Raw genomic sequence first — 25,854 nt, forward strand, 5'->3', positions numbered from 1 at the left:
TCTATGCATCTATACATGTTACACCTTGAACTATACATTGTTATAATAATTATTCATATATATAATTTTTTTTCTTTGAGACAGGGTCTCACTCTGGTTGCCCAGGCTGGAGTGCAGTGGCCCAATCTCAGCTCACTGCAGCCTCAATCTCCTGGGCTCAGGTGATTCTCCCACCTCAGCCTCCCAAGTAGCTGGAATTACAGGCACACACCACCATGCCCGGCTATTATAATTTTTTGTACTTTTAGTAGAGACAGGGTTTCTCTATGTTGCCCAGGCTGGTCTCAAACTCCTAGAATCAAGTGATCCTCCTGCCTTAGCCTCCAAGAGTGCTGGGATTACAGGCATGAGCCACCATGCCGGGCCTATTATCTTATATATTTTTATGTCTTCTAAAGTAGATAAGACAGTAGATTAGTGTGTATTTACAGAGTTAGCTATATTAACCATTTTGTGTACCATTTCTAGTTTTCATTTGTTCCTGTGAATTTCATTTACTATTTGGTATACTTCCTCACTCCAATACATCTCTAATCCCATGTAGCTCCTTTGTGCCATTATTTTTACCTATATTAGATTTCTATGTATTATAGGCCCAGCAATACAGTCATATACATATTGTTTTATACAGCTGCTTTTAAAATCAGTTAAGAAAATGAAGGAGAAGAAATATGCACATATGTGTCTTTTATAATTACTGATGCTGTTCATTTTGTCATAGGGATTCCACTTGGTCTGGGGTCATTTGCTTTTAGCCTAAAAATCTGTCTTTTGGGTTTCTTATCAGGCAGGTCTGTTAGCAACAAATTCTCTCAGTTTTTGTATGGGAATGTATTTCATCTTCATTTTTGAAAGATAGTTTTCCTGGATGTAAGATTGGTTGACAGTTTTTCTCTTTCAGCGCTTTGAATATACCACTTCACTGTCTCTGATCTCTTTTGTTTCTGATGAAAATTCAGCAGTTAATCTTTCTGGCAATGAGTGATTTTTGAAAGCTGGGTATATTGCTGGGGGCTGAAGGCCACCATATTTACTGAGTGTGGTATTTCACTTATGGGCTTCTGAAGAGCAACTCATACTTCTTTAGTGTCCCAGAGCTGCACTGGCTTTGGTGACAGTTTCCTTTGTTTGAGGGGATTTCTAAGGCATTATTTGCATAAAGTCCAACAAAAACATTTCAGATGCTTTTGGCAAAGATAAAATGCAAAAAAGAAAGCCTCGTGATAGTCTAGAAAGATCAAGGACCTTGTAGTGAGAAAGACCTGAGTTTGACTCTCAAATAATAGATCATGAAATCATTTTAGTAAATTTCCCCCAGTCTTTGTTTCAGTGTAGTCAGCCCTCCACATCTGTAGATTCAACCAACCATGAATTGAAAATATTCAAAAACGAAAATGTTGCATCTCTACTGAACTTGTACAGACTTTTTTCTTGTCATTATTGCCCAAGCAATACAGTATAACATCTGTTTACATAGCATTGACATTGTATTAGGTATTATAAGTAATCATATATAGGAAGATGTGCATAGATTATAAACAAATACTGTACCATTTTATATCAGGGACTTGAGCATCTGTGGATTTTGGTATTTGAGGGAGGTCCTGGAACCAGTCCTCCATGAATACCAAGGAATGACTGTGTATGTATAGATGTATGTGTGGATGTGTGCATGGACGAATGGGTGGGTGGATGGACAAATGGGTGGGTGGATGGATGACTGTTGGCAGGCAGAAAAATAGAATATACCAGGTTCCCATATAAAGATTTATTTGTTGCTATGAGTCATGGTCCAGAATGTTTGAAAGTTGCTGTTCCAGTCCATTTATTGGGTTGGAAGAGGGCCTGCTCTGGGATTTTTCCAGTACTGGAAGGGCCTCTGCTTGCCCTTGGGTATATCCTAAGCACTTTTCCCTCCTGCCTTGTTAGTCTCTTAACTCTGTTTTACTTTTTAGCAGAAAGAAAATGTGCCCAACTCACTGCTGTTCCTTCAAAATTGTTGCACCTAGCCACCACCTCATACAAACTCTCACAACAGCCATGACGACAGGAGTTACATGCAATTTCCTGTCTTTTTCAGTCCACCCTCAAATACCACTTATCAGAAAATGCTAACAATGACTTGGTGCTGAGAGAACTTTCAATTCACTTTTTTAGAGGATTCTGAGACTTTTCATTAATGATTCATTCATTCATTTCTGGAGAACATGACTTTGTATTCAGCAAAGTTTGGGCTAGTCAGTAATTTTAAGTGCAATAGAAGGGCAGGCAGGTGAAACTGTTTTTGCTACATTGCTAAACACATTTATGCTCGATATTCTCAGCAGATAAAATTATCCTGATTGAACAGGCCATTAAAGCTTGCTTTGCCAGAAAATAATTCAGTGGAGAGTTCTGTCACATTGCTAACAATGCATTTGGAATGAGTAATTCCTACAGCTGATAAAATATTTTTTATTAACCTTCAGGAGGCATTGAAATGATGAGTTTAGGCCTGAACAAGATTTCAAATTTTTGGAAATGCATCCAACCTTGTTTCAGAAATTTTGCTCCATCTTTGTAGAAATTCAAAAGCGTTCACTGACATTCCTTAGAAGCATTATCCAAAGCTCCCTTCTAGATCCTGGACTTGGTTTCCCCCCACCCACAAACTCTGCTGCTGCTCTATTCTTTCCCGTGCCCTAAGGCCTGCCCTACCTAACTCTTGTCCATGAAATGCAGACGCATTTTTACATGCAGAATTAGCCTGGCATAGTGGCTCACATCCATAACTCCAGCATCTTGGGAGGGTGAAGTGCGGAGGATTGCTTGACCCCAGGAGTTCGAGACCAGCCAGGGCAATGTAGTGTTAGTAATGGTGAATCCATAGGATCTACAGCAACCTCAGTTTTTGCTTCTCAGAGGAAAAAAAAATTGTCTGAGGGTCATCAGACAGAATGAGAGACCAAGGCAAGTTTTAGAGCAAGAGTGAAAGTTTATTAAAAACTTTTAGAGCAGGAACAAAAGGAAGTAAAGTACATTTGGAAGAGGGCCAAGTGAGTGACTTGAGAGATTCAAGTGCATGGTTTGACCTTTGTCTTGGGATTTCATATGTTGGCATGCATTCAGGGGGTTGTGTCTCGTCTCCCCTGATTCTTCTCTTGGAGTGGACTGTCCTCATGCCCAGTGGTCTGCCAGCATTTGGGAGGGGAGCATGTACAGTGTGTTTAGTGAAGTTGTACACATGCTCACTTGAGGCATTTCGCCTGTACCAGTCGAGTGTTCCTGGAGGAAGGTCATATACCAGTTAAACTCTGCCATTGTGCCTCTAAGTACACATGCTTGAGCCCACTCACCCAACTCCTGAGATCTTATGGGGAAGCTGCTGATCACCAGCTTCAGGTGTTTATCTGTTGGGAGACTGCCATTCCCTGGGGGCAGCTGTAAACAAATATTATTTTAGAGAGACAGTTTTACAACCGCCTGACCATCACCTGATGGTCGCTTGACAGTCCTGGTGTATGGGGTAGGGGAGGGCTCTCTCCTGTCCTGCTCATGTCTGACTAGCTACATGCTCTAACAATAGGAGACTCTGTCTCTACAAGAAATAAAATGATAAAAAACTTTAGCTGTTCATGGTGGTGCATGCCTGTGGTACCAGCTACTTGGGAGGCTGAGGATTGCTTGAGCTCAGGAGTTTCAAAACCAGCCTGGGCAACATGGTGAAACTCCATTTATACAAAATATACAAAAATTGGCCGGGTGTGGCGATGCACGTCTGTAGTCCCAGCTACTCGGGAGGCTGAGGCGTGAGTATTGCCTGAGCCCAGAAGGTTGAGGCTGCAGTGGGCTGTGATTGCACCACTGCACTCTACCCTTGGTGGCAGAGAACACCCTGTCTCAAGGGAGGGGGGGGAAAAAGCAGAGTTAATTAGGTTTGAAGAAGACAGCCAAAGAAAACAAAGCAGCACCTCACACAGGAATGACTCTGAAATTACCTGCTCTCTTGGTTCACCTGTTAGTGGCTTCCTCCACAAGGAGACAGTCAAGAAATCTATCTAAGAGGCTACATGGAAGCACTGTGGAGTCACAGAGCAGAGCATCTTCCCAATGTGTATAGCTCTGGGGATCTTCAGGGGTCAGAAGTGTCCAGGATTAAAACAAGATCCCTAGCATGTACAATTCGAAGGGGTAAACCTGGAAGAGAAGATGTCACGTTCTGGGTTTTGCCCAAATCCCAACATTTGCATCAGCTCCTGGGAGAGCATCAGGGCCTTTCTCCCATGATTACAATTCATGAGACCACAGTTTTGTATTATAGCTCACCTCTAGCAGGTAAGTTCTGTCTTCCTTCCCTCCATCCACCTGCCTAAATCTCTTAGTGGGAGAATAAATTGCTATGTATCGATTGTTTTGTTTCTCTTGACCCACACATTCTTGTCCGGCACTTGCTTTGCAAGGATACATTTGCGAGTAAGAGGGGAGGAAGTAACAAGTATTTTTATGCTTCATTTCAGGATGTGGCAGGGACATTTTTGATGGTTTCATTGCTTAATTTATTTGGAAACAGCATTAAACCAGCTTTTATTTATGAAAAAATTATATATGTTTGTGGGGGAGAGACTTTTACATGGATAAAGCTCACACCAGTTAATTAGTATTCATACTATGACTAGAAAAGTGAAATTTCTAGAAAATTTTAAAGCAAGAAGAAAAACTAAGGCATACAGAATTGCAGTTTGGTCTCTCTAGTTTCATTTTGTTTCAGTTCCTCATTTATATTGTTACCAGAGTAATCCTTCAGAAACACAAGCTTGATCCTATTACTCCTTCCTTAGAGTTGCTTCAGGGGGAAGCCCGCAGTGGGGTCAGGACGATAGACATGGATTTGGGTCCTCACCCAGCCACTTGCCCTGTGGATAATCTTGAGTCTGTTACTTAACTACTTCAGCCCTGCATTCGTCCTCTGTTGAGCAAGGATGATGACACCTCCCACCCGCACAGAGCCATCACATGGACCACATCGTGGCGTGTGTGTAAAGGGCCTGCAGCATTGGCACAGGGTGAGCATTCTAGGAAATGTAAGCTGCTGTGGTTCCAAGTCATTAATATGAAGTGTCTCTTCCTGGCCTGCAGGACACTGTCATGGCATCCATTATATGGTCCTTGCCTGGTATTTAATTTGATTTTTGTAACCTGTCTCTCCTTCTCTGTGTCCAGTTTGCTTTTGGCCCACAGTGCCCAGTATGTTGGAGGGAGCCAGAAAAGCCTGTGAAACTAGCACCAAACAGTTTTTCTTCTTTTAAGAGCTTGCGGCCAAAAATTTAACAGGAAGGGAGCTCAACTAAAAGATAGCTTGGGTATTTGGCTTTCCATTTCTCCCATTAGCACGAAAGAAAACAGAACCAGTGACTCTGAGGACATTCTCCAAAGTGAGAATGCTATTTCATGAGCTGCCACCTATAGTTCTTGCTGCCCACACTGAAAAAAAAAAAAACAAAAATCTGTGTGATTTGCCTTGAAATAAAATAGGAAACATGCAGCCTTTAAAGACTAGGATTTGACATAATACAGATCAAAATAAAATAAGTCATGAATCAGTAGGACTTTCACCCAGGGCTTTGAAGCCTTTATTTTTATGATTATTGCCACCGCAGAGCAGAGCCGGCTGCATAAACACCATTTAGAATAGCTGAAGGCTGGCATCGCATAAGAAAAATGGCAACCAGAGCGATTTCCCTGAGGGTCCATGAGTCCTAATTCTGTTTAATGTGACAATTCCTGAACAACTCTGGCTTCTTCACAGAAATATGCCTGGGAAGTTCTGGGAGCCTGGCTGCCTAGAGCCCGCCTGAGAGTGAACTAGTCTTCAGTGTTTACAGACAGAGTGACAATTCCTGAACAACTCTGGCTTCTTCACAGAAATGTGCCTGGGAAGTTCTGGGAGCCTGGCTGCCTAGAGCCCGCCTGAGAGTGAACTAGTCTTCAGTGTTTACAGACAGAGAAAATATATCCCTGGGGTTTAAAAAAATAAGTGGGTGTTCATGTAAGAGGGTAGGAATGGGGAGCTATTGTAAACTGCCAGCTTGGTCCTACTCATAACTCATTTTCTTTGGATTTGAGTACCTAAATAATTATTAATCCTTTCCCCCTTTGTGTTGGCTTTCTCTCTCTTCCATCTTCCTTTTCCTCGTCCCTACCCTTTCTGTTGCCATATCTGGCTTTTGATACCTCAGGGGTAAACATGCTCCTACTATTCAGTTTTCTTGTTGGGTGGTTTCTTGGGTTAGGAAACCATCTCTCTCCTGTGTCTGTCTAACACATTCTTTCAGCCTGTAAACTTGAAAACATCAAAGAGGAAGAAAATTCTAGAAAGGGAGAGCAGTGGTTGGGTAAATCAACATGGTTTGTTTGAGGAAACAAGTTATCATCAGCTTGCAAACCTGGGGCAGATCCCTTTTTTGCTTACAAGCTAATGTTGTAACAGGCATGGCTGGCATTTCCTGCCAAAGTTGGGGTTCAGCATTTCAGTAGGAAGTGCCAAGTGCAACTCCGCCTTCTCAGCCTTCCTTACTGGCATGCATCTCAGGCGATGTAAACCTTAGAATCTATGGAAGGGCATGTCTGGTGCAAATCATGGCGTGGCCATCCCTGTGTTTCCGCTCTCACTTGGGGTTTGCCACGCTCCCCTTTCCTAGACTCTCACAAAATAGCCACAAAATCCTCCAGAAATCAGTGCTATTTTCAGAACTGCTTCTACTTAGAATAATTCATTTCAATAATTACTCACAAATTTAGTGCCTAATTTGGAAAGAAGTATTTATCTTATTTGCCCTAAAACTGTCTTTTTTTGCACTTCAAAGAGCCAGTATTCCAAGAATTACTGGGCTGTGCATTCCTCTCCTAGGTGCTCAGTAACCATATGTGAAGAGACGTTTGAATCCTCGCAGTCTAGAGGCAGCCTCCCCAGGGCAGGGCACTGACCTCCTGTTTCTCCCCTGACCAAGAGCTCCACGACAGCGGTAGCCTAGAGCAGCATCCTTTCCTGCAAAATCCTCAGTGTTTGTTGAACGAAGGTGTGGTTCCTCTGTGTTACCCTCAACATCTAGCCCATCACTCAAGTCACTTTTAAAATTATTGATGTATAATTCACATAACATAAAATTAATGATCAACCATCTTAAAGTAAACAATTCAGCGGCATTTAGGAGAGTCATATCGTGTGCAACCATCACCTCTATCTAGTTCCAAGATATTTTTATCATCCAAAAAGGAAACCTCAAACCTACTAAACAGTCACTCCCCCTTCCCCTCTTGCCCAGCCCCTGGCACCTACCAATCTGGATTCTGTCCAAAGTAATATTTACCTACTCTGGATGTCTTGTGCAAATGGAGTCATACAATATGTAGCCTTTTGTGTCTGGCTTTTTTCGCTTAGTGTAATGTGTTCAAGGTTCATCCATGTATCAGTACTTCATTGCTTTTTCACGGCTGAGTAATACTTTCTTGCATGAATATACCACATTGTGTTTCTCCATTCATCTGCTGGTGGACATTTGGGTCATTTCCATCTTCGAGCTACTGGGAGTAGTGCTCCTGTGAACATTCATGTACAAGTATTTGTCTGAATACCATTCTCACTTCTTTGGTGCCAAGCACATTATCTCCTAATTATCTCTGGAGTCTGCCCACTGCCATCCTCCCAGTCAAGCTACTCACCTCTGTTACTGCAGTACTCAGCTGGCATTTTTGTGGCCACCCTGGCCCTTCTGCAACTTGTACTCTATACCATAGCCCCATGGACTTTTCAAAATTCAGATCCCCTCTTCACACCCTGCAGTGATCTTAGGATTGCTCAAGGGATAAGAAACACATTTCTTTCAGGGTATGGGGGCCCCTGCATGGCCAGGCCTCTGCAAGATCATCTCCCCACCCTGCCCCCTCCCTCCACATCTGTGCCACAGCCACACTGGCCTCTCTGTCCTGCAAACTCTCCATGCTCTGTCCCACCACAGGCCCTTTGCACATGCTGTCTGTGCTGCCTAGCATGCTCTCCCCTCCTCTTGGCCTAATTAACTCCTCTTATCCTTGAGTTCTGAGCTCAAGCATCACCTCTTTGGAGAAGCTTTCCCCAACTAAGTGAACACCAACACCAAGACCATCCTGGATGCACACAAGCTCCTGGAACCACTCCTCTGCAGCCCAGGCCCCAGCTGCAGTTTTACATGCAGGTGATTACTTGTAAGACTGTAAGCTCAGGTTGGGCAAAGGACCATGTCTATTTTACTCCCCATTATAGCTCCAGAATTGTCATGGACTAGCTGTTTGTATCCCCTGCCACCCACCAACTTGTTATGTTCAAGTCCTAATCCCCAGTATGATGGTGTTTGGAGGTAGAGTCCTTGGGAGGTAATTGGGTCATGAGGGGTACAGCCCTCATCAATGAGATTAGTACCCTTATGAGAAGAGACATGAGATAGATTATCTATTCTCTGCCATGCGAGGACACAGGAAGAAGGTGACCATCTGCAGACTGGGAAGTGAGCCCCCACCAGGAATGGAATCGCTGGAACCTTGGTCTTGGACCTCCAGCTTCCAGAACTGTGAGAAGTAAATATTTGTTTTTTGAGCCACCCAGTCTGTGGTATTCCTTGAAGCAGCCCTGAACTGACTAAGATAAGAACCTAGCCCAGGATGGCCCCCGTTTGGTGCTTGTTAAGTGTTTTGTTGTTGTTGTTTTTGAGACGGAGCCTTGCTCTGTCGCCCAGGCTGGAGTGCAGTGGTGTGATCTCGGCTCACTGCAACCTCTGCCTCGCAGGTTCAGGTGATTCTCTTGCCTCAGCCTCCCGAGTAGCTGGGATTATAGGCATCCACCACCGTGCCTGTAATCCCAGGCTAATTTTTGTATTTTTAGTGGAGACGGGGTTTCACCATCTTGTCCAGGCTGGTCTCGAACTCCTGACCTCATGATCCACCCACTTCGGCCTCCCAAAGTGCTGGGATTACAGGCATGAGCCACCTTACCCAGCTGCTTGCTAAATTTTTGTCGAATGATCAGATGAGTCCATTCTCCTCACCAGAGAATGTTACCAACCACAGCTTCCCGTCCCTCTATCCATGCCAGCAGTGCTTTATTTTGGGGGACTGTACCTCCCAGCATGCAATGCTGGCTCCTGGCCCCAACCGTGATTCTTGCCTCCTTCCTCCACTGGTGTATTTCAGAAATTGTGCTGCCAGGTGTGGAATGTCGAAGGGGGATCTGTCTCTCTGTAGTCTAGGCCTGAGGGAGCAGCCCAGTGTGTCTAACAACCAGGAGAGCACATACAGAGACTTGCTGGGTGCCAGGCCTGTGCTACCTGCTTTAGAAATAGCAAATACGTGAGGCGGGAATGATTCTTTGCCCCTTGTTACAGATGGTGAAACAGAGGCACAGAATACATGAGTCATTTGCCCAAAGTCAAAACTCTTGGTAAGTGGTAGATCCAAAGTTTGAATCCAGGCAGCCTTTCTCTAGAGTCTGCGTTCTTAACCTTACTATTAAATAATGAGTGAACTTAAGCATTCAGGACATGGAAGAATTCTTCTCATAGAAGAGAAATCTGAGTGATGGCAGTAGTGTTTCCTTCTGGAGTCTGCATGGGTTTGTTTAAAGCACTGGAGTGGGCAGTAGACATTCCCGCCAAGTTCTGGCTTGGCAATCCCATGGCCATTTTAAACACACAGATAACCAAACTACTCAGCTTATTTAGGACTTCACGCGCTCCTCAAGGTCCTAACAAATACAGGTTGATGTCAAGACAAATTCTCTAAAGAACCACTTTATTATAAATAAAGCTAGAGGGAAAAAATTAAGGTGAGGACTATTTGTCTTCAGATGAAAAAAACTAAGCTATTTATGAAGACTCTTGTCTTGTGTCAGTCAGCGATTTAAAAAGGAAAGAGTCAAGCCAGGTGTGGTGGTTCACAACTGGTCCCAGCTACTTAGGAGGCTGAGGCGGGAGGATTGCTTGAGCTGAGGAGTTGGAGTCTAGCCTGGGCAACATAGCAAGACCCTGTCTCTGAAAAACTAAAGAGTCATGTCCTTTCTGATCATATGTTTTGAGGGGTTAATGTCTTTGGTCATTCATACTCCAGGCCCCTGTGCTGCCATCTGTTTATCACAGGCAGGTATATTAAAACAAAGCAGGCTGGGTGCGGTGGCTCACGCCCGGAATCCCAGTACTTCAGGAGGCCCATGCGGAAGGATCGCCTGAACCCAGGAGTTTAAGAGCAGCCTGGGCAACATAGAGAGATCCCATCTCTATTCTAATTTAAAATTTTAAAAAATAAAGCAAAACCCAGCAACAAAACCTTCTGATTTACTTTTGGAAACAAAGATATTGCCATTTGAAATTCTTAGGATTCTTTTCTAAACATATAGATAAAAATCATTTCGAACATGAGAGGGCATAGTGGGTGAAGTTTTATTGCTACCTTGCTAGGTGATTTTAGGATGTTTCATAGTGATTAGAAATGAACCTCAAAAAGGCAGAAAGTTCCTCCAGCCAATGAAAGCTTCGCCACCAAGGAGATGGCACACTGAACAACAGCAGGTTAGATGGCCCAGGAAGGACTTGATTTTAGAAGAGCTTATGATAACATGGCACAGTATAAGTGGGAAAAGCAGAATGTGTGTGTGCATATGTGTGTGTATGTGTGTGTATACAGACATATAAGATATATTGATAAAATGCACAGGAAACAGCCTAGAAGGAATTCCACCAAAAATATTAGCAGTAGTGGTCTTTGCACAGTGGTATTATACTTAATTTTTTTCTGACTCTCTATTTTATAAATTATCCTGCACTTGTATTTATTTATAGCAGGACATAAGCCTTTATTTATTTATTTTTTATTATACTTTAAGTTCTGGGATACATGTGCAGAACGTGCAGGTTTGTTACATAGGTATACACGTGCCATGGTGGTTTGCTGAACCCATCAATCCATCATCTACATTAGGTATATCTCCTAATGCTATCCCTCCCTAGCCCCCAACCCCCAACAGGCCCCAGTGTGTGATGTTCCCTGCCCTGTGTCCATGTGTTCTCATTGTTCAACTCCTACTTATGAGTGAGAACATGTGGCATTTGGTTTTCTGTTCCTGTGTTAGTTTGCTGAGAATGATAGTTTCCAGCTTCATCCATGTCCCTGCAAAGGACATGAACTCATCCTTTTTTATGACTGCATGGTATTCCATGGTGTATATGTGCCACATTTTCTTCATCCAGTATCATTGATGGGCATTTGGGTTGGTTCCAAGTCTTTGTTACTGTGAATAGTGCTGCAGTAAACATACATGTGCATGTGTCTTTATAACAGAATGATTTATAATCCTTTGGGTATATACCCAGTAATAAGATTGCTGGGTCAAATGGTATTTCTAGTTCTAGATCCTTGAGGAATCGCCACACTGTCTTCCACAATGGTTGAACTAATTTACACTCCCACCAAGTGTAAAAGCGTTCCTATTTCTCCACATCCTCTCCAGCAAGCTATTGTTTCCTTTTTATTTATTATTATTATTATTTTTTTTTGAGTTGGAGTCTTGCTCTGTCACCCAGGCTGGAGTGCAGTGGCGCAATCTCAGCTCACTGCAACCTCTGCTTCCCAGGTTCAAGCCATTCCCCTGCCTCAGCCTCCCGAGTAGCTGGGATTACAGGCGCCCGCCACCACGCCCGGCTAATTTTTTGTATTTTTAGTAGAGACAGGGTTTTACCATGTTGGCCAGGCTGGTCTAGAACTCCTAACCTCATGATCTGCCCGCCTTGCTGGGATTACAGGCATGAGCCACCACGCCTGGCCTATTTCCTGACTTTTTAATGATCGCCGTTCTAACTGGCATGAGATGGTATCTCATTGTGGTTTTGATTTGCATTTCTCTAATGACCAGTGATGATGAGCTTTTGTTCATATGTTTGTTGGCCGCATAAATATCTTCTTTTGAGAAGTGTCTGTTCATATCCTGTGCCCACTTTTTGATGGGGTTGTTTGGTTTTTTCTTTTAAATTTGTTTAAGTTCCTTGTAGATTTTGGATATTAGCCCTTTGTCGGACTGATAGATTGCAAAAATATTCTCCCATTCTGTAGGTTGCCTGTTCACTCTGATGATAGTTTCTTTTGCTGTGCAGAAGCTCTTTAGTTTAATTAGATCCCATTTGTCAATTTTGGCTTTTGTTGCCATTGTTTTTGGTGTTTTAGTCATGAAGTCTTTGCCCATGCCTATGTCCTGAATGGTATTGCCTAGGTTTTCATGGTTTTAGGTTTTACATTTAAGTCTTTAATCCATCTGGAGTTAATTTTTGTATAAGCTGTAAGGAACATAAGCCTCCTATTCTATTCTATTCTATTCTATTCTATTCTATTCTATTCTATTCTATTCTATTCTATTCTATTCTATTCTATTCTATTCTATTGTATTCTATTCTATTCGAGACAGAGTCTCACTCTGTCACCCAGGCTGGAGTGCAATGGCACAATCTCGGCCCACTGCAGTCTTCACCTCCCAGATTCAAGTGATTCTCCTGCCTCAGCCTCCCACGTAGCTGGGATTACAGATGCCTGCCACAACGCCCCGCTAATTTTTTGTGTTTTTAGTAGAGACAGGGTTTCACCATGTTGGCCAGGCTGGTTTTGAACTCCTGACCTCAAGTGATCCACCTGCCTCAGCCTCCCGAAGTGCTAGGATTACAGGCATGAACCACCACCCCCTGCCATTAATTTAAAGATAAAAAAAAAAGCCGATGAAATTACTATGGAAGTCTTAATTCCCATCTAGGATTAAGAGTCTTAGCATCCAAAGACCTTTGGAGAAGTAAAGAACCTTTGGAACATTCCTAAAGGGCAGAGATGAGTGATGAAGATGACGCTGATGACAATGGCCACAGTGTGAAAGTGCAGAGTCCCTAAGGAGTGTGTTTGCACCCCACACAGCTCCTCCCTCCTCCTAACTTCACTTCAGTCTCCACAAACTTGCCACTGCATCTTGCTCTCAGTTTCATAATAGCCCTTGCAAGGTTTTTCTGGTTTTTTGTTGTTGTTTTTTTTTTTTTTTTGTGCTCCCTTCGCTTATTTGTAACCATCTTGCTCAGGAACCATGTGGTTGGTATCTTTGGGGCACATGGAGAGGCTAACAGAACCAGCAGTCGCTCGTGGTGGGAGAGCACGTGGGTGTCACTTACCTTGGTTCTGTAAAAGCAGCTAATAATTAGCTGGTGGCGGGGGCTGAGGAAATGTCTCCTTGTTTGCTTTCTACCTTCCTCTGCATGATAAGAATTTTAAACAAGGATGCACCATCATGCAGAATGCCTTCCTGGCCCCCATGGAAGAAGAATGGGGAAGAGCCACCCTTCAAGTGGCACACTGTGACACAGGAGCAGGAAGCCCATGGCTTCTCTTGACAAGGAAGGGTGGGACCTGAGCATTTAGAACAGGGCTTCCTTACAAAGCTCTGAATGCTAGGCATGTGGCACGGAGTGGGCATGGCCCACCAGCCCCGGCCCCTCCTGGGAGGAAAGTTGACCGATGTACTGACCTCTGTGTGAAATCTGGGTCATCAGGGCCTATGTGACCCGAGGCATCAGTGACGAAATTGACCTCAGCAGGGTGGTGACTGTGCAGCTCCAGGGAACTCACAAGTTGGAATGCATTTGGTGCATGCTTACACACACACACACACACACACACACACACACTCACGGGTCGATTGGTTTCTGTTTACTGAGTGTCAGTAAGTGACCCGGCTATGTTACCTTTCTGAGCCCTGGTTTCGTCGTGTGTCGAATGGGACTGTTATTCCCAACCTCCCAGGGTTGTTATGAGGACTGAATATGAGCTGTGATTAGTGCCTGCCATATCCTTGGTACTTAGTAAATGTTGGTTTCCTTTTTCTCCCCATTCCTCCCCCTGGCTTTTTTTAAAAAACAGGACTCAGGAGCCAACCTCATCATAGCTTCTTGGCCACCTGTGTCTTCTTACCATTGTTGGATTTACCCAAATTAACCTCTTGGGATTACTACCTAAGTAAATAAGAGCTTAAAAGTGAGCTCTTATTCCAGGCAGTTTAGGAAGGGGTCTTTAGGTGGAGCTCACATGGCAATTATCACAGAGAAGGAGGGAGAAAGGGGTTTTAATGTTTATGAGACTCATATTTCCTCTCTCAGTTGTATGCTAGCCCCTCCCTCCTGCCTTTTCCTCCCAGAGTTCTAGAATCATGCACTTTTAGAACTAGAGGTGCCCTGGTCTGGAGTCATTTCCCCCCATCCCTTTGCTTAACAGATGGGGAGACTGAGGCGCAAAGATGTTCAGTGATGTGTGCAGGGTCCCAGAGCTCCTCTGTGCTCCTCTCCTTCCACCCATAAATGTGGCCCTCTGAGGAAACTTCCAAAGCCACGAGGAAGCAAGCCCAGCTCATTCTTTCATTACTGGAAAAGGATAATTGCTCACTGAGCCTTTAAGTGACCCGGGGAATGGCCTGCCTCTTCTCCCTCCATGAGCTCCTGGGCCAGTAGGAATGGATCCTAGAGGCAGTGCTGTGGCAGTGTTGTGTGAGGGTTCAAAGTGGCCCTGGAGCCCCCAAGACACACTGCTCCCTGCCCTACCTTGGGCCTGCCCCCTCTGGGATGCATACCTGCGTTTGCGCTGGAGCAAAGGTAGCTACACCTTGTCTTGGCTCTGCAGGAACCCACCTCCTCTCTTTGAAGGGCATGAGCCAATGAGAAATCTCTCTCATACAGACTGAGGGAGAAAGAAGGTTGAAATACTCCTTGCTGTTGCTTTATGACCATGTTACATCCAGTGTGTGAGCTCCTGCCTCAGCCCTAAGGAGAGCCAGGGCATGTACAAGCCACTAAGAACCATGAAGTCCCTTGGCACTCAGTAGACCTCAGCAGAGAGTGTATTTCTGCCCTGTAGGCCATGTGGCCTTTAAAAATATTAATATCTTGATATTTTAAATATCCTAGAAAAACTTTGTAGTAGGCTTCTTTGTTATATTTAGCAGACCAAACATGGTTAATATTTAGTTTATACTTGGACATAATTTGGCTTTTGTGTTCTCACTTTTCTCATAGAGTAAATTGACTTTCATTTTTATTTTAAGTTCTGGGGTACACGTGCAGGATGTGCAGGTTTATTACATAGGTAAATGTGTGCCGTGGTGATTTGCTGCACCTATCAACCCATCACCTAGGTATTAAGCCCAGCATATATTAGCTATTTTTCCTAATGCTGTCCCTCCATTGACATTTTGTAATGACCCCAGGCATTCCTCAGTTGCAGCCCCCGTGTGCTCACCCACAGATATCCTCAGGTTCAGTGCCTTCTAATATCGGTTGTTAACATCCCCATACGCAAGCTCCTGGCACGCGGACACCCTTGCTTACCGTTCACATTTCTAAAAATGTTGCCTCTGTCATTTGCCCTGTGTCCTATTGTATTCTAATGAAAGTTCAGTCTCCTGACCTTGCACGGCCTAAGACAAGGGCTTCTTTCTTTTATGGTAAGGATTTATCTTTTTAAGGAGAACTCACCTGTGCATCTTCATCCACCAAAATAGATTGCGTTTTCAGTGCTACTGCTGAGAACACACAGGAAAGTGTTACCATTTGCAAAACTCATTGTCAAAGGGAAGTCACGTCCAGAGTCAGGAAAGCAAGTGAAACACCCACCTCGGTGTAGCAGCTTCATCTGGAAATTTGACCTAGAGGGTTCAAAATGAAAACATGCCCTCCCCACCCATCCAGGAAGCAGGATGAGGATGGCCATTCAGAGTTTACTTTAAAATGCCTACCAGTACTATTGATATTCTGCCACCAGCTGTGTGGTCACCATTAGCAACACATCTTTATAAATTGCTCACAGAGTCCCAGGTTGCATTTTAATTTCACTGGAAGGGAAAGACTAAAGGATCTCTGAACTTAGTGGTAGCTGGACAGACCACTGAGTGGAGTTGGAACACCTTTATTTTTATTATTATTATTTTTATTTATTTATTTTTGAGACAGAATATCACTCTGTCACCCAGGATGGAGTGTAGTGGCGCGATCTCGGCTCACTGCAACCTCCACCTCCCAGGTTCAAGCGAGTCTCCTGCCTCAGCTTCCTGAGTAGCTGGGATTACAGGCACGCGCCACCACGCCTGGTGTGTATTTTGTATTTTGTATTTTGTATTTTTAGTAGAGACAGAGTTTCACCATGTTGGTCAGGCTGGGCTCAAACTCCTGACCTCGTGATCCACCCGCTTCGCCCTTCCAAAGTATTGGGATTACAGGTGTGAGCCACTGCGCCCGAACCACCTTTATTATTTTTATTTCCGAGTCAGCACCAGATGAATTATGGAATATTCTTTTCAGAAAGAGGGAGGAGCCAAAGTAGGAGAAAAAAAGTCCAAAGGTCCACAAGCAACATATCGGTTGGTTTCAAGCCTTAGAACCCCTTGTCACTGCAGAGTCACCTGATCCACGGCCGACCCAAGATACAACACAGCTCAAGGGTGTAGCCAAAGTAGTCTTTCTTTTAGGACTTGGCATTTCTAAATGCCAGCACCTTGTACATCTCGTAGATTGGAGTTTAAATATCTGACTTTCAGAGGCATTTGAACCAGAGTGACTCCATCTTGAATAGGGGCTGGGTAACCTACTGAGGCTGAGACCTACTGAGCTGCATACCCAGGTGGTTAGACATTCTAAGTCACAGGATGAGGTAGGAGGTCAGCACAAGATACAGGTCATAAAGACCTTGCTGATAAAACAGGTTTCAGTAAAGAAGCCGGCCAAAACCCACCAAAACCAAGATGGCAATGAAAGTGCCATCTCTGGTCGTCTTCACTGCTCTTTTTACACTAATTATAATGCATTAGCATGCTAAAAGACCCAATTTTACCCAATTTGGTCTGATGCTGGAGAAACAAATCGAGCTCATTGGTAGCTCTTATAACTGATTCTGGGAAACTGGGATCCCTAGGAGAGATTCCACTGAGTCATTCATTCAACAAATGCCCATTGCGTACCTACTGTGTGCCATAGTGTGACGGGCTCAGTATATTGCCTCATTCATTACCTCACAAGGTTATCTGTTAACAGCCACAAGTCAGAGGCTTTTGACGTACAGGGTCCCGGGAGAGCCAAAATAGTATTTGTTTGTTTGGAATAATAAAAGCTGTCTTCCCAGGCCACAGGAATTAAAACTAGGAGTGCTAAATCAGCAATTGTCTAGCCTTGCCTGAGCTTCTCAAACTGTACTTTAGAATTGCTTGGGGGAACTTGTTAGAAGTACAAACCTTGGCCAGAACCTCAAAGAACCAGACTCAGGCAATCCAGGATGGGGTCCACCAATCCAAGGTTTTAAAAACAAGAACCAGATGGGGATAGGTGATGAGTTAGCCACTGGGGATTCAGAAACCCGAGAGGGTGGGGTGGCAGTAGTTGGGCTTTGCAGGCCAGACTGGTCTGGGACACTTTGTGATGAACACAAACCTTCCCTCTTCCATTTTGACCTTTCTGCCCTGGTGGGCTGCTTTTACGTAAGAGTATTATTTCTTCCTTTTGTAGGCAAAGCAAAAAGTGTGAGAACCAGCTGCTCTAAATAAAACAATTGAAGGTGGAGTTCAGATTGAGAGCTCTCAGTGGCTGCTTTTGTTTTCCTTTGAAAGTTTTGGGAGAAAGGAGCCAAAGATTCAGTAGAGGGGGCCAGCCCCAACCCTTTTGAATCTGCCCTGCCTCCCCTGTTCCACCTGTCGAGGCCAGGAAGTAGAGCAGCAGGAACCAGCCCTGGGTTCAGACCCTCCCGCTAACTGTGTAACCTTGAATTTGAACTTGAGCTTGGGCTTAACCTTTCTGTGCAGCACTGTACTCATGAATCACTGGTAGCAGTTACCTCCTGTGGGCTGTGCCAGGAATAATAAAGACGGTGCGTGCAATGGCATCTGCCTTGGTACAGGTCAACAGGAAGGCTCTAAACCAGGATTCTCCAGCTTGAGAAGCTCGTAGCTCAACTGGGGTCTTGAGAAAATGATGCCGATTCTCGTGCAGCAGGTCTAGGGTGGGCCTGTGAGTTTGCATTTCTGGCAGGCTCCCAAGTGAGGTTGATGTTGCTGGTCCATGGACCACACTTTGAGTAGCAAGCGTCTGAAAGGTGCTCACCTCCTTAGGTTTTCTGTGAATAGTTAGTGCAGATAGCTAAGTTAACAATTCTTTTTTCAGTCCTAAAAATAGAAGAAAATACTTACTCCTTCCTTAACTCTGGTCATGAAAATTAGGACATAGAATGCTTGTAGCCATAAACACTTATCTCCCTCGTCGCTCAAGTTATTAACTATCCCTAATAACGTAAATACTGAAGAAGAAGGCAGAGCGAGGGGTCGGTGATCTGCTCTGTGGGCTGAGAGAGGTTATTAAAGGACAGGGCTTCAAGCATACAGAATAAAGATGGCCCTTAAGGGTCAGGGATTCTGCTTCCTTAGGGCTCCTAGAGCTTACCTGTGAGTGAAAAGTTTTTAAATATTAATAGAAAGCAAAGAAAAATGAGAATGTCTTTTCTTCATCCATGAAATCAACTTGAACCTATCAGAGTCATCTAGAGGGGCTGTTAAAATGCAGACTTCTAGGCCCCGCCCCTGAGAATCTTTAGTTAAGTAGGTCAGGGGTAGAGCCTGAGAATTTGCATTTTGAACACATTCCCAGGTGACACTGGTGCTCACACTGTGACCAGCTCAAAAGACCACCAGCCACGAGCATGGGAATCAGTGCTGTCAGCCTGGGCCACCTCTTCAGACTTCCGACCCCTCCCATCAAAATGGTGTTGCCAGGGAGGGGTTTTTCTAAGCCAGGGTGGGGTTTGGGTATGAATGGGAGATACAATTGTCCTCAGGTATCTGAAGGTCCTCCTGGGGGTTAGGAGAGATTAGATTTCTGGAAAAGGAGAACAATCCTGGTGGCACCGCTGCAGACAGGGAGTCACAGCACCTTGGTGTGTTCCTTCTCCACCCCCAGGGCTGGGCCTCTCTGATCTACCTGGTTGGCTGATCCCTTGGTGGGGGGGCGGTGGGGGGGGCGCTTCTTAAAAATAGAGCTTTCCAGGGTGCATCCCAGGAGATTCTGATGAGCAACCAGGTTTGGGACCCCCTGCGAGGAAAACAGTGAAGCACCAGCTGGGCACTGGAGAGCTGCTCTGTTTTTAATGATTCTTGGATGCAGCACTAATGATCACTCAGCAAGCGAATGATTCCCTGGCAGGAAATGGGACCCTTTGTGAAGTACATTTCCTTGCAGGATCCCTAAAGTTACAGTCGATAAATTCTGGCTGCATCTTCCAAAGTGTTTTATTTCCCATCTGAGGATGGCTTCCAGCCAGGAGCATCTGGCCAGGGGGACTTATCCAGGGTAAAACCCCACCCTCTCCGCCTTCCCCACTCCCTCGCCCCTGTCAGCAGTGACTCTCTCCACAGCCACTCTGCTCTGGGCTGTGTTGAAAGTAGAACCTATAAAAGTCATGGTTGAGCAAATTCCAGAGAGAATGCTTCCCAGACAAACTCAGCAGCAGAGAACATATCTGTATGCAAAGAGTCAGGTTACAATGGAGGCAACTACTTGGATAATAGCCTAAGGAGAAATTCCCACCACCCCGACTCCCCCGCATCCCCGACCCCCTTCCCTGCCCCTGCTTTGTTTGTCATGCTGTCATGCACAGATTTGAAGACTGCAGTCTTGCCTTGAGTTTTCTGCTTCACCAGCAGATGTTTCAGAGCATCACTGGGTGCTGTGCTCTGTGCCAGGTAGGGGTTTATAAAGGAGGCTCAGGTACAGTCCCTGCCCTGTGGAGTCCACTGCTGGAGAAAGATAGATGCTTACATGACTAACTGTAAAAGCAGCGTCACTCCTAGAATAGCCCATTTCTAAAGTAGACCTCCCAGCACTCTCCCTCCCCTTGCCTGGTTTCATCTTCCCCACAGCGCTTGTCCCTCTAGAAATGACTAGCTCAGTACTCAGTAATGAAGTACTGGTGCTTCATCTTCCCTCTTACAAATAAAGCAATGTGAGGGGAAAGACCAGACCTTTAGACCCTGGCCTCTCCCAACCATTGTATGTGGGCTGCCCAGGGGGCATGAGAGTGGCTTTCTGCAGCAGAGGCGTTGGGAGGCTCTGCTGAGAGGGTGGCTGCTCACACACCGCCAGGATCTGGGGCAGAGGCTGAGGGAGGACCTGGGCGGCCACAGCAGCTCTCAAACCCAAGCGTGCATCAGAATCTTCCAGTGGGTTTGTTCAGGCACAGATTGCTGGGCCCACTTCAGAGCTGCTGATCCAGTAGGTCTAGGATTTCTAGCACGTTCTCAGGTGATTCTGTGGCTACTGGTCCCTAGACCACACTTTGAGGACCGCAGAGAGGTGCATCAGCATGGCCATGACAGTGAACTTAGTGAATAGCTGCAGGGTGGGTCCAGTGACGGACTTCTTAGAAGCTATGCCAGTGACCCCCGTGAGAGAAGACAGGACTCTGAAACAGGCTCCAGCAGTGGGGCTGGAGAACAGAAAGGAAGCACCCAAGACACATGCGACAGTGGAATCAGTGCGCTGGTGGGAGGCGAGGAAGGAGTTCGAGCAGCGGGAAGGATGGAAGTGCTTTGGACCAAGATGGGCACTGGGTGGAGGAAGGAATAATGTGTTCCCTTTGGGACCTGCTGCTGTGAGGGGCTAAGGAGACCTCCAGGTGGAGATGCTAAGGAGGCAGTGGGAAATGCTTTTAAAACTCAGGAGAGCAGCTGGCGACGGGTACAGATGCTGGGGTCTTCTGGATAGGGGTGTAAGCTGCCTCAGTGGGGCTGAATGAGAGTCCTTAAGCGGAGAGAGTGGTGATGTGCTTGGAAGCCAAGAGGCTCTCACTCGTAGGGGTGGTTAGAGAAATAAACAAGTGGAGTGCTCCAAGGCTTGTGAAGGACAAGGGGGCATGACCCCAAGAGAAGGGGTTGTGTTTGAGGCATGAGTTAGAGGAGCTGGTCTCCATATTTTGAAGTGGATAGTTGTTCCACTCCTCATCCTACTGTGTGCAATTTTATTTTGCCTCAGTGACAGTCACTTTACAGCCATATTGGTGCAACATGCATTAGCAAAAGAAGTGCATGCCGCGTGCACGTGTGTGGGTGCAGCAGCAGCTCTCCGCAGCAAGAGGTAAACAAGACAAGCACTACGGTGGTTCAAGTTGAAGCTGGAGGTCATTTTTTGCCCCTGTAAGCTGAGCCCTGAAGAAGAAAGTCACCATGTATCCATCTTGTTACCTTTTTGGATTTGACGCTGATCCAGATCCTCCTGGGACCTTCAATCCGCTGCTTTTACAAGGATGAAAAGGATTCTGATGACTTTTTTTGAACTGTTTGGGCAGGAATGCTACAGAGAGAATCAATTTCTGTGAACTGAGAGTCCCCAGGTGATAATTTGGTGTTTCACACACAGGCAGTTTTCTTTTTAATGTGTGGTGCTTGTTTAGTCATCTGGCTCTTGCAAACCCTAGTGTTTGAAAAACAGGGATGTAGTTCAGCAGTGTCTGAATAAGGCTGATGACTCAGAATCATGCAGTGCCTGGCTTCTCAGGCCGCCGCCAGCCGGGACTGCTTTAGGCGCGAACCCACGCTTCTGACCTGTGCTCTGTCTTTGCAGTTCTGCACGGAGCTAAACCAGCCGACCCTGCCCAACATCCGCAAGTGGAAGGGGCCCCGGGGATGCTGGAAGGCTGTTGTTGCTGAGAAGCCCTCGAGTCAGCTCCAGAAGGTACCCTCGTCTGCAAAGCCTGGCCTTTCCCTTCATTTAATTTATACATACTTTTCCCCTAATCAAGGGCATTTAAAAATTTCCTTTGCCAATATCCCCGGTTCAATTTTGTATTTCTGCCCAATTTTTAAATCCTTGCCATTCATTTCCAAATGCCCTGGTTTTCGGTTCACGTTTAGATTGGGAATGGACTCCTGCCAAGAAGGAAATGAGAGCTTAGGGTGTTGGGAGGAGAGGAGGGGAGAAAGGCAACAAATGGGTATTTCTGTCCTTTGTCCTTCTAATCCCTTCGCCACAGTTCTGTCTTCTGCCAAGTTTGTGCAGAGCTCATTACTCGTTGACTGAAAATTTCAGATTCACCTTAGTTCACACATGAAGTATTTGCTTCTAGTGGTAGAAATTATGCACATAATTTCAACATAGAAATGTTCTATTGAAATGTTCAGCAGATTTTGGTTTTGAATTTTCTTTCATCAGTATCACCCATATGAGCAGGTAAGGGTAAATCTCTGTAAATACACGTTTTCCCTCATATTATTATTCAAGGCCAGATTTATTCACCTTGCAATGCTTAACATCAATGGAGTTTTAGATTTTTAAACAGACTCCTGATAATAACCAGGAGTTGAAAATGTATTATTACATAATTTTCCTATAAATGCAGATTTTTAAATCCCTAGTATACCTAACATGCTTACAAACACATGTGATTTATACTTAATATGATTATGTTTATAATGTAGGCTCTTAAATCATAAATGTATACTGGATTAAAAGTGGCCATTTTTTGACAGTAAGCCCCTACTCTCTTTTTAGCTACTACTTAAAGAGGTACATGTAAATCTTCTGTCTCTGGGTTTTATGTTTGGGGGTGTAAATGGCTCCTGCAGCTGACAGTGAGTCAGCACACATTCAGAGAAGGCTGGAGATAAAGCTGAATTTGAATGCATCTAGTTCAGGGTTCTCCCTTCCAGTCCACGTGGAAATAATAAGAATAATACCACCTTCCTTTTTTGATCGCACTTTACATGTATGTAGGTGTCTGAGCTTCACAAGCCTTTTATAGTCCATTCAGCACTGCATTCATTCAACAAATCATTAATGAAAGGTGGCTATGTACCAGGCATATTGTTTCATGCCAGGTACACACTGGTGAGAAAAACTCCATGCCTGCATGTTTTCACTCTTTGCAAGACACAGTGGGGATCCCGGCTGGAGCCTGACCTGGCCCCTCCCGCAGGGAGTGCACAGCCTGTTGGAGAGCAAGACAGGTAACCCCATTCCAGGTCAGGGTGTCAAGGCCATTGGAAAACAACATGAGGTTGCAGGGAGACCCGAGTTCCATCCACCAAAACCTCTCGGCCTCAATTCCTTCATCTGTAAAATGGGAGCGATAGCCCTTTCTTAGCTCACCTATAGGGTGGCTATAGGATTTTAAAAGATACTATGCATTGGAATGCATCATGAACGTAGCGCAGGCCAGGGCCAGGCGGAACGGGCATGAGGTGGCAGGCTGGCCGCCTGCAGTGGACTGAGAGAGCTCATGCCTGGCTCTGGCTGCTGCTGGGTCCATGTCTACCCAGTTGTTACCCTGCAGTATTGTGGGCCCAATGTGGCCAAACCTCCCAGTTTCATTTTAATGGGAAATTTCCTGAATTTTAAAGATGAACAGATAATCCAAAAAAATTTAAACACTATGTGAATCAAACAGAATATATCTGCAGGTTGAAAATGTTCAATCTCTGTCCCTAGACAAACATAAGAAAGTGGGCCATTTCTCCGATGCCTGAAATTCTGCCCCAGGCATCTTCTCCCCAGCTCCCTAGGGCTTACACGATAGCCAGAGGGGTGGTTTCCAGCTGTGAAGGTGAAGACCTAGTAAGATGAAATGATTTGCCCACAAGCCACCCTTTTGCAATGTGAGGTGCTCGGACCTGAGCCCAGTTCACTCTCTCTGTCTGGAAACCCTGTTCCTCCGGCTGCTGTTCTGGAGGAGAGGGGAGCGCCTAGGTCAGGGGCATTGGGAAAGGCTCCCAGGAGGGGCAAGAAACCAGCGGTGGAAGGAGCAGCACGCAGGGAAGTGGGGGTGGGGAAAACAGTGCTGAGCAGGTGAGGGAGGCAGAGGAAGGAGTAGGCCCCACCGCAGAGGCTTCCCCTCCAGGGCCATCGGGGAGCCCCTGAAGGCTTTTGGGCGGAAGATGACTCGAGTGATGCTTTAGGTAAGTTACTCTGGCACCATGACTTGGGAAATGGCAGATGGAGAGATAATCCTCCAAAGCCAGCAGGGCAGTCATACCTCCCTCCAAACCAGAGGAAGCTGAGGTTTAGAAAAACTGAGTGGGTCGCCCAGGGTCCCGCGGCTAAGTGACTCAGGTGGGACTGAGGCCCAGGTCTTCTCGTTCTCAAACCAGCACACTCTCCAGGGGGTGGGCAAGGAGATAATTTCAAATATAGAAGTGCACAGCATACAATACATTCATTCCCTCCCTCCCTCCTCCTAAAAACACGCATGTTCAGACAAGGCATGTGGCTTAGACCAGAGCTGACCTTGGGGACTTTGTGGTGGCTGCTCAGGAGGGTGGTTGTGCAGAGTCACTTCCCCTCCTTTTGCAATGGGGAAGAGTGGTGATGAGCACTGCTGGCCTCTCAAATGACATGCAGATGGCTCCCAGGCAGCGGGTGCTGAGGAAGCATTCTCATGGACAGCAGAGGCTGTGGTGGGGTAGAAAGGAGAAGTGTGTCTTCTTCCACAAGCCCCCAGTGGCGGCGGCAGCAGCGCAAAGCAGGCATATTCAGAGCAGCAGGGTTTAACACTAGGCACTAGGACTCTGCCCCACCGCCAGCCCTGGCACCTCTGACCTAAGCTTCACACCTCTGCCATGGCCCCATCCACCTGCGGAGGGCCCTCGAGCAGCCCCAAGCCATTAGGTCAACTGCGACCTCCACTCACCCAGAAAACACTGAGTGGGCTCTTACTAGGTGCCAGGCACCATTTTTGTAAGCTGCAGCTAATCAGTAAGCAAAACCCATCCCTTGGAGTTATATGTTTTAGTCTCAGCATTGTGATCAGCTGTGGGATTTCAGGAAAGTCACTTAACCTCTTTGAGCAGCAGTGTCCTCATCTGGGAAATGGAAGCATGAATTGCTACCTCATGGGATGTGATGATTCTGAAGATATCTCTGTGCCTAGCCGGGGCTTCACCCACCTCCCCCCAAAGACAGAAGAGCCCAGGCCACCCTGTCTGTATGGAAAGCTCTGAAATTGGCAATATGTGAAATTATTTGGGCTGGGGAAGGGCAAGGGAGAGTGGCTGTGGCTTTCGTGGTGTGCTTTTGGTTTAGAAACAGCTTGAGCCAGAGTAGGGCCTACTGCCTCTCGGTCTCTCTGGCCTCTCTGCCTCCTTTCCCCAGGTGGCGCTAGGGCTCTGGCACCAAGACTCTGTCTCCCTCTCCGCTGCAGGGAGCTGGGTATGCAGGATTCCTATGGGACGCGGCTGCCGGCATGGAGCTGAGAGACGCGGGTTCACAGGAGAGCTCGCCAAGCAACGGGCACGGGAAGCTGGCGGGCCCCAGCCCATACCTCGGGAGGTTCAAGGTACCCGCTCCACGCCGTCTGTGACGTGGAATCTGCTTCTTTCTAAAAAGGAAAGAAAAGGGCTCATTTTGTAATAGCATGAGTAAGAGAAGTCTCGTCTTTTTGCCTTGATTTCAGCCTCTCATGATTGGAGATTTTTGTCTCTCCTGGGGCTTCCTTGGCAGGTGAACTTGTCCAGGGCAGGAATGAAAGGGATTTTGAGACAGCCCCAGTAACTCTGGCATCTGAGCAGGAGAGGGGGGAAGGAGGGAGATTTGGTATAGCTCCTAAACCTGACCCTCATTAGAGTCTCCTGGGGAGATTTTCCTACAGTCAGGGATTCCTAGACCCCACCTCAGACATACAGAATTTGGGGGATTATCCGGATGGCCTACTTTCCAAAAGCCCCTTCAGTGATCCTTCACCTTCCTGGCACTGGTTCACAAGGCCAGGTGTTAGGGAATGGCTGGATTCAAGGGCAGCAGAACTGGCCTGAGGAGCCCC

General features: G+C 45.9%; 1 protein-coding gene across 1 annotated transcript in view, besides 1 other annotated feature; it reads left to right on the forward strand.

The window, feature by feature from the left end:
- Window positions 1-25,854, forward strand: part of EEPD1 (endonuclease/exonuclease/phosphatase family domain containing 1) — a 148,285-nt gene that overhangs the window by 106,196 nt on the left and 16,235 nt on the right. The window contains exons 4-5 of the mRNA NM_030636.3: window positions 21,666-21,776; window positions 25,237-25,371. Coding sequence (NP_085139.2) covers window positions 21,666-21,776; window positions 25,237-25,371 — 246 coding nt within the window. The remainder of the gene's footprint in view (window positions 1-21,665; window positions 21,777-25,236; window positions 25,372-25,854) is intronic.
- Window positions 21,635-22,296: an enhancer, noted in NCBI's record as "OCT4-NANOG-H3K27ac-H3K4me1 hESC enhancer chr7:36320693-36321354 (GRCh37/hg19 assembly coordinates)". NCBI's record gives its function as "activates a minimal SCP1, AML or CMV promoter by ChIP-STARR-seq in primed H9 embryonic stem cells {active_cell/tissue: H9 hESC(primed)}" and the evidence as "EXISTENCE:reporter gene assay evidence [ECO:0000049][PMID:30033119]".

Source organism: Homo sapiens, chromosome 7 (genome assembly GCF_000001405.40).
Source record: "Homo sapiens chromosome 7, GRCh38.p14 Primary Assembly".
In the NCBI taxonomy this organism is placed as follows: domain Eukaryota; kingdom Metazoa; phylum Chordata; class Mammalia; order Primates; family Hominidae; genus Homo; species Homo sapiens.